The sequence below is a fragment of the Homo sapiens genome, chromosome 4, assembly GCF_000001405.40.
Source record: "Homo sapiens chromosome 4, GRCh38.p14 Primary Assembly".
Lineage (NCBI taxonomy): Eukaryota > Metazoa > Chordata > Mammalia > Primates > Hominidae > Homo > Homo sapiens.
In genome coordinates this window covers 76,811,628-76,835,098 of record NC_000004.12, presented here as the reverse complement: position 1 = coordinate 76,835,098, position 23,471 = coordinate 76,811,628, and the positions used below count along the sequence as shown (strand labels likewise).

At 40.5% G+C, this 23,471-nt stretch overlaps 1 long non-coding RNA gene across 1 annotated transcript; it reads left to right on the top strand.

Annotated features, from left to right (window-relative positions):
* The first annotated feature begins 2,919 nt into the window (after positions 1-2,919).
* Positions 2,920-23,171, top strand: LOC124900719 (uncharacterized). The gene is made up of 2 exons (XR_007058150.1): positions 2,920-2,988; positions 22,870-23,171. It is a non-coding gene; the product is annotated as an uncharacterized LOC124900719 (long non-coding RNA).
* The last annotated feature ends 300 nt before the right edge of the window (positions 23,172-23,471 follow it).

Here is a 23,471-nt window from a genome sequence, read left to right as displayed (position 1 = left end):
ATTTTTCTAGCCACTCTATGTACCTTGAATACTGTTAATTTCACCAGTGGAAGCCCATTTCTGATATCAGTGGTGCTCATTAAAACACAACTAGTTTGCCAATAAAACCCCATCTCTGATATTGAGTATATTTATTTGAAACTGCTGTTGAGGTACGATAATTCAAAGACCAGCTCCAGAGGAGGACACTTTCTGATATAACACAAGCTGCTTACCCTTTCATTGGACATTCTTGATTAGTTCTAGGGTTTTTGCTTAACTTAAGAAACACACAGGTAATATCACATTGCAAATGCTAAAATACTTTAAAATAAATTATAGACACTATTACCTGTGTGTGCAGAGGACTCACAGCATGAACTCAATATCATCTAGGATCTGACCATCAGTTTCCTGGGCCAGACATCTGATTTTGTCCTCACACCACAAGGGAAAAGCTCAAATTAGCCGAGCTCATGGAGCCTCGCGGTATGAATCCAGAAAGTCAAGTGTTTGTTTATAATGATAACTCAAACTTTTGTGCAGCTTTGATATTGATGGGATAAGCATATTTTCTCCCTGGACACCAATTTAAGGGGAAGTTATCGTCTTAAAGCTGCTTGTTGAACACTGAAATATGAATAAGAAAAAGCTGTGATTGGCTGATCTGTAACAGACATAGACCTGCCAGAGGTATTTGAGTCTATAAGCGAGGACACTTTCTCTCCTTATCTGAGCTTAAATGGTCATTGCCAGTTTCTGACTTTGAGTTTCATGCTGCAGGAGGCTGTTCACACAAAAGACCATTATTCAGGCCACTATATAATTCATTACACTTCTATTTATTAAATTACTATGATATTCTAGTCCTAACACTCTAGAAATATCCGCTTTTCCTTTATAGAAGTTTGGAGTAGAGTCAAATTCTTCTGTTATGCATTGATAGGAAGATGGTTTATCACGTTCCCTTTGAGTGTGTAGATTATACTGATTAAAATTTTGGGGTTAAAATTAAAATTTGGGGAGGGGGTTAAAATTTTGGGGAGGGGGTTATTAGTGTTCGATGACAGTGTTCTTTTAACCACAAGAAACAGAAAACCCAACTCAGAATATGTAAAGTTTCTGTCACAGCTGGATCTCAGGGTTCAGACAATGCCATTGACCTAATCCTTTCAATCTATTCTATTCCACATTGGCTTCATTTTCAAGTTCGCTCCTGACAAGTAGGTGGCTCCTGCCCTACAGTTCCAGGCACACATCCTCCCAGTTTCAAGACCAGTTGAAAGTCTCTTTTTCTTGATATTTCAATAAAAACTTCTAACGCTAAATCTCATTGGCCTGGCTTGGGTTATGTGCCCATCCCTAAACTAAGAATGGAGTCCAGGGAGTTGAAATACATGGATTGTCTAGATCTTGGTTACATGGCCAGGTCTGATATCTGGTTTTATACATGGATTGAGAGTTAATGTAAAATAATGGTGCTATTACCAGAAGAAGGTGGGCAGAATCCAGGTAGGCAAAACCAGTAGAAATCTCCTTGGGAGGCAACCTTATTTTTCTTATCTCCAAGTTCTGAGTAGGGATATTGGGGCAGGGAGAGTACATTTCTGTTGTGCCATGTATGTCAAAACCAGGTAGTATGGATGATGTAAGTTATGGCCTGTACCATCCAGGAACTCAGTCTAGCAGTGAGAATAAATATGTGCACAAATGACCACAATAAATGAACAAAACAAAGTAAGTATCACAAACAGTATAGGGGGAAAATGGGACTTACCTAAGTTCAGAGGAAAGAGGAACCTGTTGTTTAAAAAGGTAAAGGAAGACTTCATAGAAGAGGTGGCACTTGAGGCTTAAAGGACAGGTAGGGTTTTGATAGGTACAGACAGAGAAGTTGACATTACAAGGGGAGGGAACTGCATGAGCAAACCCACTGCAATTGGAAAGAGGATAGTGGGCAAGTCTTTTGATGTCTTCTGGAATTGCTTCAGACTGTGTCTGGAGGGTGCCATAAAAGTGATGTGATTAAGGTTGAATAGCAGGTAGTGGTAGATTTAGGCAGCTTACTCAGGAGGAGGGCCTTCTGCAGACAATAAAGGTAGGTGAGTTTTAGGAGCTGTGATGGTGTCTCATACACAGCTTCTGTTTCAACACTTCTTTTTGTTTGTTTGTTTTTTGTTTTTGTTTTTGTTTTTGAGACAGAGTTTCACTCTATCACCTAGGCTGCAGTGCAGTGGCATGATCTCGGTTCACTGCAACCTCTGCCTCCTGGGTTGAAGAGATTCTCGTGCCTCAGCCTCCCAAGTAGCTGGGACTACAGGCACATGCAACTATACCCAGCTAATTTTTTTGTATTTTTGTAGAGATGGAGTTTCACCATGTTGGCCAGGCTGGTCTCGAACTCCTGACCTCAAGTGATCCGTCTACCTCGGCCCCCTAAAGTGCTGGGATTATAGGCGTCAGCTACTACACCTGGCCCTGTTTCAACATTCTTAATCAGAAGTGTGATCCAGGATGCTTTTCAATATGCAGTTTCCTGCACTGATCCCAGACCTTACAGAATCAGCAACTCTGAGCAAGGAAGTCCTTATGCTTTTCTTCTAGGGCTGAGCCCAAATGAATTCCCAGGCATTCCCCAAGCCCACATTCAGCTCTACGTTCCATTTTGACAGGAAATGCCCACTTTCAGTCACACTACTTTAAAAAAAGCCCATAGCCCTTCCAGACTAAGTCTCCTCTGCCCCATCCTGCCCTACTGGACCCAGTGCCCAGGTGCCACAGCCTTTGGGCTGAGAAAAGGAGAGCTGAGCGTGGATCCAGGAAGAGGCAGGGTACAGGCCTCCTTCAACCCTAAGGAAGAAAACAAGAGTCTTATCAGATCCACAGGACTGGCCAAGCAGTTCTTCCTGTAACTGCTCTTTATGGGTAGACCCAGAGGAGAAGGTTTCAGGTTTTGTTTGGAAAAAGCCAGACTGCATGACGTCCCTCAGTACTGAATCTCCAAAGGCTGTGAGTATTAACAGGCACAAACTGCAATTCAGGGGCCTCCAGCCCTTTGTGGGAGTGGGTGGGCTTACACTCCAGGCAAATAAACACGTCAATTCAATTTAGCACACATCGCCAATAGCTCACTTTATTTCTTTATTTATTTTGGGGCCTGCCACTGTGCTCTGTATTGAGTAGCCTGCACAGTATTCTTCTACATGAAAGGACACGTCCTCTGAAGCAAACTTTCACAGTTCACAGTACTCTGTACATCTTGGGAACTGTGTCAGCATTTTTGGAAAGGATAACAGTGGACTACGATGTTTATATCATTTAAGTTGAGAGATCGTCTCACTTAAAACTTCCAAAGCTCTACTGGAAACTGAAGAGATAAGTAAAGAACAGAGACCCAGATGAGAGCCTGGTCATTTTCTTCTATTGATTATAGGGGTTGGTCTCAGCTGCCATACAGTCTCCAGCCCTTCCACTGCTCCACACATCCACTGCCTGCTTTGGAGCTGGGATGAATTAGCAGAGCTGCCTGGAATCCTCTTCCTAAGAACAGGAGAAGAGCACCCAGGGGGCTGCCCTTGTCCCCTGCCCAGTAGGCGAGCCCAAGGTCCCCGGCTCAACTCCCTCCCTGAAGGACTTAGGAGAGTTGTCCAGGGAGCCTGCCTTTCCAATCCCCGTCCCTACCTCCTATGTACCTTGCCGTTCCCGTTGGCACCAGGCTCATGCTGCTTAGTGCAGGGCAGGCAAATTCAGGCTTCAGCTCCCAAACCACAGCATTTTGAGCCCAAGAACTCCTTCTGGAATGAGGCTGGCCTCCCTCAGGCTGGCGTGGCAGTTGTTTTCCTTCCCTCACTCTGCATCCTTCCCCATCCCCATTTCATTTTACTCTCAGTTTTCAATCCCTTTGGAGTAGAAAGTGTGACTCTGATTCCTCCTGTGTGGCTCCTAGCATGGCGATGACTTCTTTCTTTCCACTTCCTGGCTCTGCTGACGTGACCTTTGGAATTTCTTGGCTCACTGTCAGAAACCCTAGTTTTTCCCAGCGTCTGTTTAAACACCGTGCTTCCGGTGACAATGCCCTTTGCCTTTCTAACCTTTTTGTCATCTGGCTTCAAGTTCCAAAGGGGATTTTACTGCCTGCTGGGTCAGTAACAGTGCCCTGTGACTAGAAGAAGCCTTCATAATACATTTCCTTTGTATATGGAGTTGCCAAAGTTTTAAAGACTGGCACTTGGGGAAATGTCAGGGCTTTTCTTGACCTGTTGAAAAGCTGCAGCCTGTAGCCTGGCATGGGTGCGCTCCTCGGTGTGTGCGAGCCTGCCTCTCCAGCCTCCCCTTCCACCACAGCTCCTTTCCTTCAGCTTCTGCTTAGACATCATCCAGCTCTCTTGCCTCCGGGCTTTGCTTAAGCTGCTACCTCTGCCAGATCCCCTTTTCCTATCCACTTTCCTATGTCTGTATGGCACATATTGTGTGTCTGTGCCCACTCCAAAAAGCTTTCTAGATCCCTACCTACCTGACTTAGTCTCTCTCCCAGCCCCCGCACTCCCATTACGCTATTCTTATATATTTTTTATTTTGATTTATTTTTATGGCTATCTAGAAGGTGTATTCTCATATTTTCTTGACTCTAAGTGGCAGAGTTCTCTTATTACAGCTATACTGTAGTCCCCTTTTATCTGCAGGGGATGTGTTCCAAGACCCCCAGTGGATGCCTGAAACCACAGATGGCACTAAACCTCATATGCATTATGTTTTTATCCTATGCATACCTATGTACATACCTATGATAAAGTTTCACTTATAAACTAGGCACAGTAAGAGATTAATAACAATAGAATAATTATAACAATATACTATAATAATAGTTATGTGAATGCTGGGCACGGTGGCTCACGCCTGTAATCCCAACACTTTGGGAGGCCGAGGTGGGCAGATCACGAGGTCAAGAGATCGAGACCATCCTGGCCAACATGGTGAAACCTCATCTCTACTAAAAATACAAAAAATTAGCCAGGCATGGTGGCATGTACCTGTAGTCCTAGCTACTCAGGAGGCTGAGGCAGGAGAATCGCTCGAACCCGGGAGGCAGAGGTTGCAGTGAGCTGAGATCGCGCCACTGCACTCCAGGCTGGGCAACAGAGAGAGACTCTGTCTCAAAAAAAAAAAAAAAAAAAAAAAACTATGTGAATGTGGTCTCTCTCAAAATATGTTATTGTGCTGTGCTCACTCAGACCACAGTTGACATTCCATGCTCATGGGTAGGAAGAATCAATATCGTGAAAATGGCCATACTGCCCAAGGTAATTTACAGATTCAATGCCATCCCCATCAAGCTACCAATGACTTTCTTCACAGAATTGGAAAACACTACTTTAAAGTTCATATGGAACCAAAAAAGAGCCCACATTGCCAAGACAGTCCTAAGCCAAAAGAACAAAGCTGGAGGCATCACCCTACCTGACTTCAAACTATACTACAAGGCTACAGTAACCAAAACAGCATGGTACTGGTACCAAAACAGAGATATACATCAATGGAACAGAACAGAGCCCTCAGAAATAACGCCGCATACCTACAACTATCTGATCTTTGACAAACCTGAGAAAAACAAGCAATGGGGAAAGGATTCCCTATTTAATAAATGGTGCTGGGAAAACTGGCTAGCCATATGTAGAAAGCTGAAACTGGATCCCTTCCTTACACCTTATACAAAAATCAATTCAAGATGGATTAAAGATTTAAACGTTAGACCTAAAACCATAAAAACCCTAGAAGAAAACCTAGGCATTACCATTCAGGACATAGGCGTGGGCAAGGACTTCATGACCAAAACACCAAAAGCAATGGCAACAAAAGCCAAAATTGACAAATGGGATCTAATTAAACTAAAGAGCTTCTGCACAGCAAAAGAAACTACCATCAGAGTGAACAGGCAACCTACAACATGGGAGAAAATTTTCGCAACCTACTCATCTGACAAAGGGCTAATATCCAGAATCTACAATGAACTCAAACAAATTTACAAGAAAAAAACAAACAACCCCATCAAAAAGTGGGCGAAGGACATGAACAGACACTTCTCAAAAGAAGACATTTATGCAGCCAAAAAATACATGAAAAAATGCTCATCATCACTGGCCATCAGAGAAATGCAAATCAAAACCACTATGAGATACCATCTCACACCAGTTAGAATGGCAATCATTAAAAAGTCAGGAAACAACAGGTGCTGGAGAGGATGTGGAGAAATAGGAACACTTTTACACTGTTGGTGGGACTGTAAACTAGTTCAACCATTGTGGAAGTCATTGTGGCGATTCCTCAGGGATCTAGAACTAGAAATACCATTTGACCCAGCCATCCCATTACTGGGTATATACCCAAATGACTATAAATCATGCTGCTATAAAGACACATGCACACGTATGTTTATTGCGGCATTATTCACAATAGCAAAGACTTGGAACCAACCCAAATGTCCAACAATGATAGACTGGATTAAGAAAATGTGGCACATATACACCATGGAATACTATGCAGCCATAAAAAAGGATGAGTTCATGTCCTTTGTAGGGACATGGATGAAATTGGAAACCATCATTCTCAGTAAACTATCGCAAGAACAAAAAACCAAACACCGCATATTCTCACTCATAGGTGGGAATTGAACAATGAGATCACATGGTCACAGGAAGGGGAATATCACACTCTGGGGACTGTGGTGGGGTGGGGGGAGGGGGGAGGGGTAGCATTGGGAGATATACCTAATGCTAGATGACGAGTTAGTGGGTGCAGCGCACCAGCATGGCACATGTATACATATGTAACTAACCTGCACAATGTGCACATGTACCCTAAAACTTAAAGTATAATAAAAAAAAAAAAAGGAATTAAAAAAAAAAAAAAAAAAAAAAAAAACTATGTGAATGTGGTCTCTCTCTCAAAATATGTTATTGTGCTGTGCTCACTCAGACCACAGTTGACCATGGGGTAACTGAAAACTTGGAAAGTGAAACCATGGATGGATAAGGGAGAACTACTGTATTGAGCTACTATTCACATATTATAAAATTCACCTATTTAATGTGCACAATGTAATGGTAGAAGTCACAGAGTTGTGCAACAATTCCCACAATCAATTCTAGAATATTTTCATCACCCTAAAAAGAAATCTCGTGCCCTTTAGCTGTCACCCACTAGTTCCTCCATCTTCCCTAGCCCTAACAACCACTCATCTACTTTCTGTCTCTATAGATTTGCCTATTCGGGATACTTCATACAAACAGAATCAGACTATATGTGACCATTTTTGTCTGGCTTCTTTCATTTAGCATAATGTTTTCAAGATTTATCAATATTGTAGCATGTATTAGTAGTACTTCATTCAAGAGGCATCTTTTTAAAACATTTTAACATCTCTGCAATAAAGATGCATCTTCTAATCAATAGTGAGCATAGTTTAATTAGCATCAACTTTTATTTCTTAGTAATGCTTAGAATAATTATGTATCTTCCAGTGGATGGGATCTAATTCAATGAAATGCTACATTTATGTCCCCGGGGTATTACCCCTTATCACAGTCAGCTTTGTGGCCAAGTAATTTGCTTATGTGTCAGTCTTGTCTCCTAAACTTCAGGCTCCAGAGGAACAGAACTATGCCTTAACTATCTTTGTGTCCTTTAAAAGACCTAGTACAGTCCGGGTGCAGTGGCTCATGACTGTAATCCGAGCACTTTGGGAGGCCAAAGTGGATGGATCACTTGAGGTCAGGAGTTCGAGACCAGCCTGGCTAACATGGTGAAACCCCGTCTCTACTAAAAATACAAAAATTAGCCAGGTGTGGCGGTGTGTGTCTGTAATCCCAGCTACTTGAGAGGCTGAGGCAGGAGAATCGCTTGAACCTGCCTATACACTTTTAATTAAAATGATAAGTTTTTGGTGACTGGTATAGTTAATTACCTAAACATATGAGCACCTACTGTATGCCGGGTCCTGTGTTCTAAGCAGAGAGTGTTATAAAGACGGTCAAAATATAGTTCCTCTTCTAAGGAATTCATATTTTGGAAAGACATTTCTATAAATGTTATAGAACAAGGAGAATGGGTAAGTGTGACAAAGGGGCTAACAATGCTGTGTGAGAGAGAGATAGGTGGAAGAAGGTTTTGAGAGGATAGCACATGAGCTAAACACATAGGTGCTAAGAACACAGGTTTACACTCTGACAGTCCTGGATTCTGCCAATTCTTTGGAAATTTGGCTTGACATTGAACTCTCCATGTCTTGTTTCTTGATCTGAAAAATGGACATAATAAGAGTGTGTATCTCTCACAGTTGTTATAAGAATTAAGTGAGACAATGAGTGCCAACTATCTGGCATAATCGTTTGTGCTGAAATAAATGATAGTTATTTGTGAATTTCAGATCATTTTAGAAATTATTTAGTCAGCCCTCTCCTGCGCACACCTAATTTTATGCAGTAAGATCTTAGCCCTAAGCGGCTTATGTTTCAGCCAGAAGAGGGGAAAGCAAGATTCCTGGAGCAGAGACATTTGAGGGATGAAACATTAAAATGGCTGAGAATTTTCAGTAAGTGAGATAAGCACGTTAGAGGTGAGTTTGAAGAGGTCTGTTCCTCAAGTTCAACCCACCAGCTCTCCTTTTTTCCTCCTCATGGGCAGCTACTTCATTTATTTTAATGGAGTCTTCATATATATATATACGTATATATATACGTATATATATATATATATAATATGCCCAGTGTTTGAATAGCCTTTAACAAGAAAAATCCCAGTCCAGACTTGATTATAAGCTGTAGTTCCTTCCCTGGATATTATTTTTCTGTTCTCAGCAAAGCTGTATATTTCCTGAACTGCCAGGGGCTGAGGTTTCTGCATTTTTATTCCCTGGTTATCTAGCATGATGGGCAGGGTTCTACTTAACAACTAGAACTTTTTTAAACAAGTGTTAAGTAGAACTCTGCCCATGATGCTAGATAACATTTAACATGCCTGTGTTTGTGTTTTTTTTAAAAATGTTTTACTTGAAAATACTAATGTCTTGTTGAATGGAAGAATAAATCACTGCTTTTTGGGGTTTTGTTACTTTGCTTTCTTTGAGACAGGGTCTTGCTATGTCGCCCAGGCTGGAGTGCAGTGGTGTGATCCTAGCATACTGCAACCCCTGCCTGTCGAGCTCAAGTGATCCTCCCATCTCAGCCTCCTGAGTAGCTGGGACTATAGGCATGTGCCACCACACATGGCTAATTTTTAAATTTTTTTATAGATATGAGGTCTCACTATATTGCCCAGGCTGGTCTTGAACTCCTGGGCTCAAGCAATCCTCCTGCCTTGGCCTCCCAAAGTGCTGGGATTATAGGTGTGAGCCATTGCTCCCAGGCTGAATCACTATATTTTGAATGAATAAATGAACAAACAAATGGTTACAGGGTTGTTTATAACAATTAACCACTGAAACAAATTATATTTATTTTTCAAGGGGAAAATCAGGTATAGATTAAAGCTAAAAAATTGTACTCATGTATTAACATTTTTTCAGTTTTATGAATAATATCATATTCATATCACTGTTTAACCAACAGAGCTACAATGATTAGGTTTACATAGTTTACTTTCTAAGTAGACAGACAAATAAAGTTGTTGATACCATGGCTACCAGTCTTTGTCTAATAGAAGATGCTGAAAGATATGCAGAGCTAAGAAGCCCTACTGGGAACTGAGGCTGGACTCTTCTCTCCCTCTGGGTGGTAGAGCAAGGGATGGTGCTCTGCTTCAGGACACTGGTCTCTTCAACCTGGGTCACAGCACAGGCAGGCCCAAGTGTGCATACATCAGAAGTGGGATTGTATTAACCAGGGGCATGAGTGTTAATTCAGTTAACAGAAAAGACAAGATAATTTTTTTTTTTTTTTGAGACGGAGTTTTGCTCTTGTCACCCAGGCTGGAGTGCGATGGCTTGATCTTGGCTCACTGCAACCTCTGCCTCCTATGTTCAAATGATTCTCCTGCCTCAGCCTCCCAAGTAGCTGGGATTACAGGCGCCTGCCACCACGCCCGGCTAATTTTTGTATTTTAAGTAGAGACGGGGTTTCACCATGTTGGCCAGGCTGGTCTTGCACTTCTGACCTCAGGTGATCCACCTGCCTCAGCCTCCCAAAGTGCTGGGATTATCGGTGTGAGCCACCGCGCCTGGCCTAAATCTAAATTAATAGTGGCTTAAGCAAGATAAAGCTCATTTCTCTCCCACTTAAAAGAACCCCTGATGCAGATGGCTGAGGGCAGGAATAGCTCCACAGCACTGGCTCCTCTCAGCTCTCTGCTCCAACATCCCTATGTTGTGGTCCTCCAGTTTCCAAGATGGCAGCTGGAGCCCTAGCCACACATCTGGAGGGGACAAATAAGTGACAAAGGAGGAGGCCAAAATCTCACATCATTTGCTTTTAAGAAGATTTCTCAGAAGTTGCCACACAGCACTTTAATACCTCATTGACCAGAATATAATTATGGAGACACCAGGCTCCAAAGGAGAATGTGGGAAAGGTGGTCTTTATTCTAGGTAGTCATGTGCCCTGATAAAAACCAGTTTCATTACTGAGGAAAAAAGGGAAGAATGAATATAGGGATAGCAACTGTCAGCCTCTGCCATGAGGGTATACAGTCCCAATTCCTGCCCCTGAGGTTACAATACACATGGACCTAGGACATCCATGTCCTCGGGAAAGTTCTTTTGTAGAACAAGCCCGTGGAAAATGTCCCAGGATGAGCAGCTCTCCTTTCCTTCCTTAGGAATGGTTCACAAGGCTTTGCCCCCTCATCTTGAAAGTCTCCAAGCCCCCACATTAGGGTCTCCTTTGGATGCAACTGGGATATTATGTCCCTCTACTTTACCCATTACCCATTTTCCTTTGAAACTAAATTTGAGACTAGGCTTAACCCTTGGTAAATGTATAATCTTGGGCAAGTAATTAAACATTTCTGTCCACATTTTCCATACCTCTGAAATGTGAATAATCTGTAATAATGATCCTCAAGTCTGACACAAAGTTGGTGCTTAAAAAATGTCAACTTACTTTCCCAACCAAAAGGGCTGTGTGAGAGTGTGGACAGCCCAGCATCCTAATACACTTTCTTGAGATATTTCTAATTTAATTCATACTCTAAATCTAATCTTTATCCAATTCTAATTTTATTAATAGAGTTGCATTTACTGAGTGCATACTATGTGTCAGGCGCTATTCTAAGTGTTTTGCCTGTGTTGACTCATTTAAACCTCACAATAATGCTATGAGCTATGTACCACTTTACAGAGAGAGGTTAAATAACATGCTGGAGGTCTCACACTCAGGAAGGGATAAAGAGAACTAAGACATGAATCCTGGTAGTCTGGCTCCAGAGGCTGTGAGTTCAACCATGAGTGATAAATCTTCCCTGTGGAGCCCTCTGTCTGCCCTCTCATCTGTTTAAGATCTGCATCAAAGCTTTGTACATTTAGCAGGATATAAATAAACCTTTTGAGGGCCCAAAATCCCTCCTATCCTCCCCATCTTTTATCTTCTTAATTTTCATTCTCTTACAGAATTCTTTTTACTGGGGTTAATGATCAGTTATTCAACAAGTATTCGTGTTAAGACAGTCTTTGGAGCTAGAGAGGAGAATGATCCTTACCAGCGGCTGGGAAGGGTGTGTGGGTGGGAGGGGAGAATGAAGAGAGGTTGGTTATTCCACACAAACGGCCAAGTGCAGTGGCTCATGCCTATAATCCCAGTACTTTGGGAGGCTGAGGTGAGAGGATCACTTGAGTCCAGGAGTTTGAGACCAGCCTTTGCAACATAGTGAGACCCCTGTCTCTACCACCACCACCACCAACAACAAATTAGCTAGGTGTGATGGTTGTGCATCTATAGTCCCAGCTACTTGGGAGGTTGAAGTGGGAGGATCACTTGTGCCCAGGAGTTTGAGGCTACAGTGAGCTGTGATGGCACCACTGCACTCCAGCCTGGGCGAGAGAAGGAGATTCTGTCTCCAAAAAAAGGAAGAAGAAGAAGGAAATGCGGACATATACTACCACATAGATGAACCTTAAAGACTTATGCTAAGTGAAATAACCCAGACTCAAAAGGACAAATACTTTATAATTCCACTTATGTGAGGTACATAGAGAGTGGTCAAGTTCATACAGACAGAAAATAGAATGGTGGTAGCCTGTGGCTGAGGAGCGAGAAGAATGGGGAGTTATTATTTAATGCTAGGGAGTTTCAGTTTAAGGAGATGAAAAGGTTCCAGAGACGGATGGTGATGATGGTGGCACAACACTGTGAATGTACTTAATGCCACTGAACTATACACTTAAAAATAATTAAAATGATAAATTTTATTTATGTTTATTTTATCACAATATAAAAAAACAATTACAATGCAGTGAAGTACGTGCTAAAAGGCTGCAGAGTCGAGGTGCATAACCAGGGTGACCTGCCTGCTCATCTCTTGGGTCACTGGTATGACCTTTGCTTAACTCCTCAAGTCCTTTTCCTTGGCTGGGCTCACAGCATTCCTTTCTCTTGGCCCTCGCGCTAGACTGTGCAACGGAATGGGAGAAGTCTGGTAGAGTAGCTTATTACCATGGAGTGCTGTAGAAATGTCGGTTGTGGAGGCCTGGGCTGGGGCCAAGTCTAGGCAATCTAGTAGCTGGGAGTTGAGGCCTTCATGGCTAATACATAGCAATCCAGGTGAGCGAAGATGGAGTCCCGAACTAGATGAGGGCAAGAAGAGATGGAGAGAAGTGGAGGAATTTGAAAAAGGTTTTGGATGCAGACTTGATGGAACTTAGTGACCTATGGGAAAATTAGCATGAGAAAAAGAGCACCCAAGGAGGACACCCAGGCTTCTGGTTTAGGTGATGGGTTGGCAGGGAGTGCTACTTCTGAGACATGGAATAGAGGAGGATAAACATATCTGTCAGGGGACACGATGACTTCTATTTTTTATCTTTGGACATGTTGAGTATAAGGTGATTGCAATATATCCAAGCAAGCAGGCAGCTACCCTAAAGAAAATATCAGTTTTAATTTTCTTCAAAACTCGGAAGGATCCACTACAAGAACAGATTGAGATTTAAAGAAAAAAAAAAGTGTTGCTCAGAAACCTTCCAAAGAGAATGTAGGACCAGATGTGCAGCTTGCATAATTCTGGCATCTTCCTAAGTCTCATTTCTGATTTATGTTTATTTTCAGCAAGTAACCCACACTCAGTTTGATTCTCTTGTTCTTACTGGAAAAATCACTGATTGGGATCCAGAACTAGTTATGTGGTCTTCCTGGTTGGAATCCAAGCCATTATTTCCAGTGCTTGAAAGGAAGGAATAAAATTCTTTAGCTTTGGGGGATTATAAAACACAACCCCCTAATTTTATGTTATTAGAAATGGTCTCTGTTTCTAAACATGACTCACCTTCAAAAGGACTGCCATTGGGGAGATATTTCCATCATTTTATTTGCTTTGTTTTTAGATTATATTTACCTCTCATTTTAAATCTACTAACCCTACAGCTACAATCTTCAGACACTACTTTTGGAGACACTGAATTGGCCTTACCCTTTCCAGTCTGTTCCCCTCTTCTCACAGCCCTCTGAGGCTTGAGGATATACCCAGATAAACCATCAAGCTCATCCCTAAGGCTTTCTCCCATCTGCCTAAATTTGGGAGATCTCTCTTCACACGTTAGGCAAGTTTTCCTTCCTCTTTCCTCAGTGGGGAGAACACTGAAGAGTTGAGATGCCTTGGGTTTGGGTACTGCTCCTTTGTTTATCAGCTTGTGTGGCAACAAACAACCAGAAACACTCTCGTGCACATTCATTATCTTATGATAATGGCCCTTAATTTCTTCATCTGTGAAATGGGGATAAACTTATCTACTCACCTTTTCTACTTCACACCTAATATCAGAGCCCCTGGGAAGCTATCATAGCTGATTTTAAACGACATACTTAAGTTCCTGACTCTAGGCTCTGGCTTCCAGATGGCATTTCTGGGCCCACCTGTGACTGAAGAGCCCTTGGGCCTTGAGTGAACCTTGTCAGTAGCCAGGAAGTAGTCACTGCAGGTGTTGGTGAGACCCAGTGCTGTGCTGGCTTCAAGTCTGACCCAGCGCAGGCCCAGGGGTGGTGGCTAGTATCACCCCTCCTCCAGCTCCAGGCAGCTGAGCATGGAGAAAAAGACTCTGTTTGGAGGAAAGTAAAGGAAGAGAATAACAGTCGCTGCCTGGTAATCCAGAGAATTCTCTTTCATCTTACCAAAGACCACCAAGGCGGTGCCTCTACGAGTCTGCAAGAGTCACAGTGTTACTGGGCTTGGGTTGCCCTCTAATGCAGATACTGCTACAGTGACCAAAGATGTAGATCACAACACCCAAGTATTCCCTTTGAATACTTTTTAAAAAATGTTTTATTTTATTTTTTTTGAGACAGGGTCTCGCCCTGTTGCCTAGGCTGGAGGGCAGTGGCATGAACATTAGCTCACTGCAGCCCGAACCCTAGGCTCAAGTGATCTTCCCACTCCAGCCTTCCAAGTAGCTAGGAACACAGACAACGTGCCACTGTGCCTGGCTAATTTAAAAACAATTTTTTTGCAGAGACAGTTTCGCCATGTTGCCCAGCCTGGTGTCAAACTCCTGAACTCAAGCCATCTTCCCTTCTTGACCTTCCAAAATGCTAGGATTACAGGCATGAACCACCATTCCTGGACCCTTTGAATACTTGAAAAGCCTTCTCAAGAAGGATGGATACAAACAAACCCAGACTGTGAAGACTGTAATAAATACCTAACTCTTCAATGCCCAAACATCAGCAAACATCCACAAGCATCAAGATTATCCAGGAAAACATGACCTCCCCAAATGAACTAAATCAGGCACCAGTGGCCAATCTGGGAGAAACAGAAATATGTGAATTTTCAGACAAAAAATTCAAAATAGCTTTTTTGAGGAAGCTCAGTGAAATTCAAGATAACACAAAGAAGGAATTCAAAATCCTATCAGATAAATTTACAAAGAGGTCGACATAATTTTAAAAAATTAAGTAGAAACAATGGAGCTGAAAAATTCAATTGACATACTAAAGAATGTATCAGTCTCTCAACAGTAGAATTGATCAAGTAGAAGAAAAGATTAGCTTAAAGATAGGCTATTTGAAAATATAGTCAGAGAAGACAAAATAAAAAGAATTTAAAAAATGAAGCACATCTATAAGATCTACAAAACAGCCTCAAAAGGGCAAATCTAAGAGTTATTAGCCTTAAAGAGGAGGTCGAGACAGAGACTGGGGCAGAAAGTTTATTTAAAGGGACAATAACAGAGGACATCTCAAACAGAGAGAAAGATATCAATATACAAATAAGTATAAGAAGGTTATAGAACACCAAACATATTAACCAAAATAAGACTACAACTAGACATTTAATAACTAAACTCCCAAAGGTCAAGAATAAAGTAAAGATCCTAAAAGCATCAAGAGAAAAGAAACACATAACACAAAAGAAGCTCTGATACATTTGGCAGCAGACTCTTCACTGGAAACCTTGCAGGCTAGGAGAGGGTGGTATGACATATTTAAAACACTGAAGGAAAAAGACTTTCACCCTAGAATAGTATATCCAGTGAAAAGATCCTTCAAATGTGGAGGAGAAATAGAATTTTCCAGACAAACAGAAGCCAAAAGATTTCATCAATACCAGACTTGTCCTACAAGAAATGCTAAATGGAGATCTTCAATCTAAAAGAAAAGGACATTAGTGAGCAATATGAAATCATCTGAAGGTACAAAACTCACTGGTAATAGTAAGAATATAGAAAATTAGAATATAATAACACTGTAACTGTGGTAAAGTACTCATATCTCAAATAGAAAGACTTTAAGATGAACCTATAAAAAATAATAACTACAGCAACTTTTCAAGACATAGAAAGTATAGTAAGATATAAATAGAAACAAAAAGTTTAAAAGTTGGAGGATGAAGTTAAAGTGTAGAGTTTTTATTGGTTTTCTCTTTGCTTGTCTGTCAGTTTTTGCAATCAGTGTTAAGTTGTCATCAGTTTAAAATAATGGGTTATAAGATGTTATTTGCAAGACTCATGGTAACCTGACATCAAAAAACCCACAATAGATACACAAAAAATAAAAAGCAAAAAATTAAAACATACCACCAAAGAAAATCACCTTTAGAAAAAGGAAGACAGGAAGGAAGGAAGAGAAGACCACAAAACAACCAGAACAACCAGAAAACAAATTTTTAAATGGCAGTAGTAGATCCTTACTTATCAATAATAATATTGAATATAAATGGACCAAACTCTCTAATCAAAAGGCATTGAGTGACTGAATTGGTAAAAAAAAAAAAAAAAAAAAAAAAGCAAACCAAGACCCAGCCATCTCCTGCCTATAAGAAACACACTTCACCTATAAAGTCACATGTAGACTGAAAATAAAGGGGTGGAAAAAGATATTTCATGCCAATGGAAACTAAAAAGGAGCAAGGGTAGCTAAACACATATAAAACAAAATTGATTTCAAGACAAAAACTATAAAAGAGACAAAGAAGGTCATTATGTAATGATAAAGTGGTCAATTCAGCAAGATGATATAACAATTGTAAATGCATATGCACCAATACTGGAGTGCCCAGATATATAAAGCAAATATTATTAGAGCTAAAACAAGAGAGAGGCCTCGATATAATTATAGCTGAAGACTTCACCACCCCCACTTTCAGCATTGGACAGATTATCCAGACAGAAAATGAACCAAGAAACATTGGACTTAATCTGCACTACAGATCAAATGGACCTAATTGATGTTTACATAATATTTCATTCAACAGCTGTGGCATATACATTCTTCTCCTCAGCACAGGGATCATTCTCAAGGATAGACCATATGTTAGCCCACAAAACAAGTTTTAAAACATTTTTAAAAAACTGAAATAATATTAAGCATCTTCTCTGACCACAATGGAATAAAACTAAAAATCAATAACAAGAGGAATTTTGGAAACTGTACAAACACATGGAAATTAAACAATATGTTCCTGAATGACCAGTAGGTCAATGAAGAGAGTAAGAAGGAAATTGAAAAACTTCTTGAAACAAATGAAAATGGAAATACAACATACCAAAACCTTTGGGATATGGGAAAGTAGTACTAAGAAGTTTATAACTATAAGTGCTTAAATTAAAAAAGAGGAAAAACTTCAAATAAATAACATAATGATACTTTTTAATGAATTGAAAAAGCAAGACCAAACTAAACCCAAAGTTGGTAGAAGAAATGAAAGAATAAAGATCAGAGCAGAAATAAATGAAATTGAAACAAATAAAACAATACAAAAGATTAATGAAACAAATAGTTGTTTTTTTGAAAAGATAAACAAAATTGACAAACCTTTAGCCAGACTAACAAGAAAAAAATAGAGAACAGTCTGGGAAACATTGTGAGACCCTGTCTCTACAAAAGGTAGAAAAAACTAGCTGACTGTGGTGGCATGTGTCTGTAGTCCTAGCTACTCGGGAGGTCAAGATGTGAGGATAACTTGAGCCTGAGAGATGGAGTCTGCAGTGAACTGTGATCATGTCACTGCATTACATCCTGGGAGACAGAGTGAGACCTTGTCTCAAAAACAAAACAAAACAAAAATGGAGAGATGATCCAAATAAATGAAATCAGAGATATTAAAAGGAGACATTACAACCAGTACTGCAGAAATTCAAAAGATCATTAGAGGCTACTATGAGCAACTCTATGCCAACAAACTGGAAAACACAGAATAAATGAATAAATTCCTAGACATATATAACCTACCAAGACTGAACAATGAAGAAACCCAAAACCTGAACAGACCCATAACAAGTAACAAGATTGAAGTTGTATTAAAAAGTCTCCTAGCAAAGACCAGGACCCAATGGCTTCACTGCTGAATTTTACCAAACATTTAAAGAACTTATATCAACTCTACTCAAACTATTCCAAAAAATAGAAGAGGAGTACTTCCAAACTCATTCTGTGAGGCCAGTAGTATCCTGATACCAAAACTAGACAAGGACAATCAAAAAAAGAAAACTATAGGCCAATATCCCTGATGAACATTGATGTAAAAATCCTCAACAAAATACTAGCAAACTAAATTCAACAAAACATTAAAAAGATCTTCATTATGACCAAGGGGGATTTATCCCAGGGATGCAAAGATGGTACAACATAGGCAAATCAATCAATGTGATACCTCATATCAACAGAATGAAGAATAAAAACCATATGATTGTTTCAATTGATGCTGAAAAAGCATTTAATAAAATTCAATATCCCTTCATGATAAAAAAAAAAAACCTAAAGAAACTAGATATAATAGGAACATACCTCAACACAACAAAAGCCATATATGACAGACCCACAACTAGTATCACACTGAGTAGGAAAAAACTGAAAGCCTTTCCTCTAAAATCTGGAACAAGACAAGGATGCCCACTTTATTTATTTAATTTTTTAAAAATTTTTGTTTTACTTTAAGTTCCGGGATACACATGCAGAATGTGCAGGTTGTATAGGTATATGTGTGCCACGGTGGTTTGCTGCACCTATCAACCCACCATCTAGGTTTTCAGCCCCGCATGCATTAGCTATTTGTCCTGGTGCTCTCCTTCCCTGCACCGCACCCCCTGGACTGGCCCAGTGTGTGTTATTCCCCTCCTAGTGTCCATGTGTTCTCATTGTTCAACTCCACTTATGAATGAAAGCATGTGGTGTTTGCTTTTCTGTTCCTGTGTTAGTTTGCTGAGAATGATGGCTTCCAGCTTCATCCATATCTCTACCAAGGACATGATCTCATTCCTTTTTATGGTCGCATAATATTCCATGGTGTATATATAATACATTTTCTTTATCCAGTCTATCATTGATGGAAGGATGCCCACTTTCACCACTGTTATTCAACATAGTACTGGAAATCCTAGCTAGCGCAATCACACAAGGGAAAGAAATAAAGGACCTCCAAATTGGAAAGGAAGACATTAAATTATCCTTGTTTAAAGATGATATTATACTTGGAAAACCCTAAAGACTCTACTAAAAAACTATTAGAACTGATAAAAAAATTCAGTCTAGTTGCAGGATACAAAATACAAAAGTCAGTGGTATTTCTATATGCCAACAGCAAATAATTTAAAAAAGAAATCAAGAAGGTAATCTCATTTATAATAGCTACAAACAAAATACCTAGGAATAAACTTAACCAAAAAAGTGAAAGATCTCTACAATGAAAACTACAAAAGATTAATGAAAGAAATTGAAGAAGACACAGAAAAATTGAAAGATATTCTATGTTCATGGATTGGAAGAATCAATATTGTTAAAATGTTCATACCACCCAAAGCAATTTACAGATTCAATGCAATCCTTATCAAAATACCAATGTCATTCTTCACAGAAATAGAAAAAATAATCTTAAAATTTCTATGAAACCACAGAATACCCAAAAGAGCCAAACCATCCTGAGCAAAAAGAATGAAAGTGGAAGAATTTCATTACCTGACTTCAAATTATACTACAGAGCTATTGTAACCAAAACAGCATGGTATTGGCGTAAAAACAGACACATATACCAGTGGAACGGAACAGATAACCTAGAAATAAATCCATACATCTATGGTGAACTCAATTTTGACAATGGTGCCAAGAACATACACTGGGGAGAAAATAGTCTCTTCAATAAATGGTGCTGGGGAAAGTGGATATTCATATGCAGAAGAATGAAACTAGACCCCTATCTCTCACCATATACAAAAATCAAATAAAAATGGATTAAAGACTTAAATCTAATACCTGAATCTATGAAACTACTAAAAGAAAACATTGGGGAAACTCTCCAGGAAATTGGTCTGAGCGAAGATATCTTGAGTAATAAAAAGCACAGGCCACCAAGGCAAAAATGGACAAATGGGAATATATCGAGTTAAAAAGCTTCTGCACAGCAAAGGAAATAATAAACAAAGTGAAGAGACAATCCACACAATAGGAGAAAATATTTGCAAACTATCCCTCTGACAAGGACTTATTAACCAGACTATATATGAAACTCAAACAGCTCTATAGGAAAAAAAACTAATAATCTAATTTTTAAAATGGACAAAAGATGTGAATAGATATTTCTCAAAAGAAGACATACAAATGACAAACAGGTATATGAAAAGTTGCTCAACATCATCAGTCATCAAAGAAATGGAAATCAAAACTACAATGAGATATCATCTCACCCTAGTTAGAATGGCTTATATCCAAAAGACGGGCAATAACAGATGCTGGCGAGGATGTGGAGAAAAAGGAACCCTCATGCACTGTTGGTGGCAATGTAAATTAGTATAATTGCTGTGGAGAACAAGTCAAAGGTTCCTTAAAAAACTAAAATAGAACTACACTATGATCCAGCAATTCCACTGCTAGGTATATATCCAAAATAAAGGAAATCAGGATATCAAAGGGACATCTGCACTCCCATGCTTACCGCCAGCACCACTCACAGTGGTCAAGATGTGGAAGCAACCTAAGTGTCCATCAATGGACAAATGGATAAAGAAATGTGGTACATATACACATTAGAGTACTATTTAGCCATTAAAAAACAAGGTCCTATCATTTGTAGCAACATGGATGGTCATTATATTAAGTAAAATAAACCAGGCACAGGAAAGACAAACTTCGTATGTTCTTACTTGTTTGTGGGAGCTAAAAATTAAAACAACTGAACTCAAGGCAATAGAGAGTAGAAGGTTAGTTACCAGAGGCTGGGATGAGTGGTCAGATGTAAGCGGGGAAGAGGGGATGGTTAATGGGTACACAAATGCAGTTTGAAAGCATGAATAAAATCTAGTATTTGATAGCAAAATGGGGTAATTACCGTAAACCATAATTTATTGCATACTTAAAAATAACTATAAGAGTATAATTGGAATGTTTGTAACACAAAGCAATGATATATGCTTGGGGTGATGGTTACCCCATTTACCCTGATGTGATTGTTATACAGTGTATGCCTAGATCAAAATATCTCATGTATCCCATAAATATATATACCTATGTACCCATAAACATTTAAAAAAATTACCTAAGAGACATAAATAGGCTGGCTCATGCTGTAATCCCATCACTTTGGAGGATTATTTTAGGCCAGGAGGAGTTTGAGACGAGCCTGGGCAACATAGTAAGACTCAGTCTGTTAAAAAAAAAAAAAAAAAAAAGACATACAGCATCCAGCTGAAAGCTTGTGTTTCCAAAGCTCCTCAATAGCTAGTTTCCTGGTTTTGTTTCTTTGAAAGTATCCGACAGCTATTCCAATGTTCCCTTTACATGAATAATATTCATTATAAAGAGCTACCGTTTATCAAGCACTTACTCGAGTAGATAATAATTGCATTAAGAGTGTCGTTTAATGCACTTTGGGAGGCCAACAGGGGTGGATCACTTGAGGCCAGGAGTTCGAGTCCAGCCTGGCCAACATGGTGAAACCCCCTGTCTACTAAAAATACAAAAATTAGCCAAGTGTAGTGGTGCATGCCTGTAGTCCCAGCTACTCAGGAGGCTGATGCAGGAGAATAGCTTGAACCCAGAAGCGGAGGTTGCACTGAGCCGAGATCACACTACTGCACTCCAGCCTGGGCAACAGAGGGAGACTCTTTCTCGAAAAAGAAAAACAAAAAGAAAAGAAAGAAAAGAGAAAAGAAGAGTCTCACTTAGTTTTTAACTTAGATAAGCAGATACAATTATGCCCATTTTACAGATGAGCAAACAGAGCCTCAGAGAAGTTAAAACAGACAACCTTAATTCACAAGTCAATAAGCCGCAGTTATAGGATTATAAACCAGGTTTGAGTGAATCTGGAGCTCCTGTCTTTAACCATTACAATTTATTGACTTACTAGCTTCTCCACTTTTCTTGTCTTTGTTGTTGTTGTTTTTTGTTTTGTTTTTTTGGGACAGGGTCTAGCTCTGTCACCTAGGCTGAAGTGCAGTGGCACAATCATGGCTCACGGCTCACTGGAGCCTCAACCTCGTGGGTTCAAGTGATCCTCCCACAGCAGCCTCATGAGTAGCTGGGTCTACAGGCCTGCCACTATGCCCAACTAATTAAAAAAACATTTTTTTTTGTAGAGACAGGGCCTCATGATGTTGCCCAGGCTGGTTGCAAACTCCTGGTCTCAAGTGATCCACCCACCTTGGCCTCTCAAAGTGCAGGGATTGCAGCTATGAGCCACTGTGCCTGGCCTGCTCTACTTTCCAATGCCACTTCTTTCTTTCCTCTTCCTCCTCTCCCTTCAATATCCCTTTTCCTACCAGTATCTTTAACTCTAAGCTTTGAAAGCATCTATTTTGGAAACTGCAAAGAAAATAAATCTGTTGGGATGCTCACCACAGACTTGGGGCAAGTCATTAGCGTGGGAAGGGGAAGTGGAGAGGGGGCACAGGGAAGTGAGGGGCTAACAGGTTGCAGGAACACACATCTGAGTGTGTTTGCTGCACCCCATCATCTTTCCCAGACAAGAGGTGACAGATCCATGGAACAGGCTTCCAGAAGAGGGGAGCTCCCCCTCAGCTTTTCAGCTTCTCATCCTCTGGATTCTTCTTTTTTGACAGTGATGTTTTCCACCCGAAATATTGTCTGGACTGCGGGTCGGCCGAAGGCGGGAGGGAAAAGGGGCCCAAACCGGAAAGGGGGGTGGGGGGAGGAAGAAGAAGCAAAAAAGAAAAGCAGCTGGAACTCGTCTCCTGGGGACCAGCCAAGGAGGCCCAGGCCCTGGGAAATCTGCTTGTCTCCTGCTAAGCAATCCCTCTCTCAGCTTCCTTTTCAGTCTGTGTGACCCCCGACTCAGACCATGTGTGGCAGCTCCCAACAGCAGGCACTGCAGATGTCCCAGCAGAGATGGAGACCCCCACTGGGAGAGGAGACCTGCTTCCAAGCTGTGAGGAGCCAGCTGCCAAAACTTACAGATGTCCTTCCAAGTGTCAATGTTGCAAATCAGAAAAAAAAAAAGTCCATGGGTATGCATGACTCCAGCCAGGAGGGCAGTGTGGCCAGCAGATATGTGGATTCTTAGTGACAGAAGGATAATAAAAGTACTGGACTTGATAGAAAGAGGAATTTTAAAACTTCAGCACTCTTATTTCTGCAGGATTCTGGTCTCCAGATTGCTCAGCAGAGGGTAGGCGCCCTCGTGGAGGGAAGGGAACCAGGAAATGAGTTTCATTGAATGAATGTGGGGGAGAGTGAAAGAATTCTCTACGGAGGGTCTTAAAACCATTCCGGGCTTGTTTTAAATTTAGAGAAAATTAAGTCATTCTGCAATCATTTTAGGGCTGTGCATGAGGTCAGGAGAAACTATTTTGGAAAATAGATTATATCATGTCACTTCTCTGCGTAAAACCACTGGGAACTTCCATT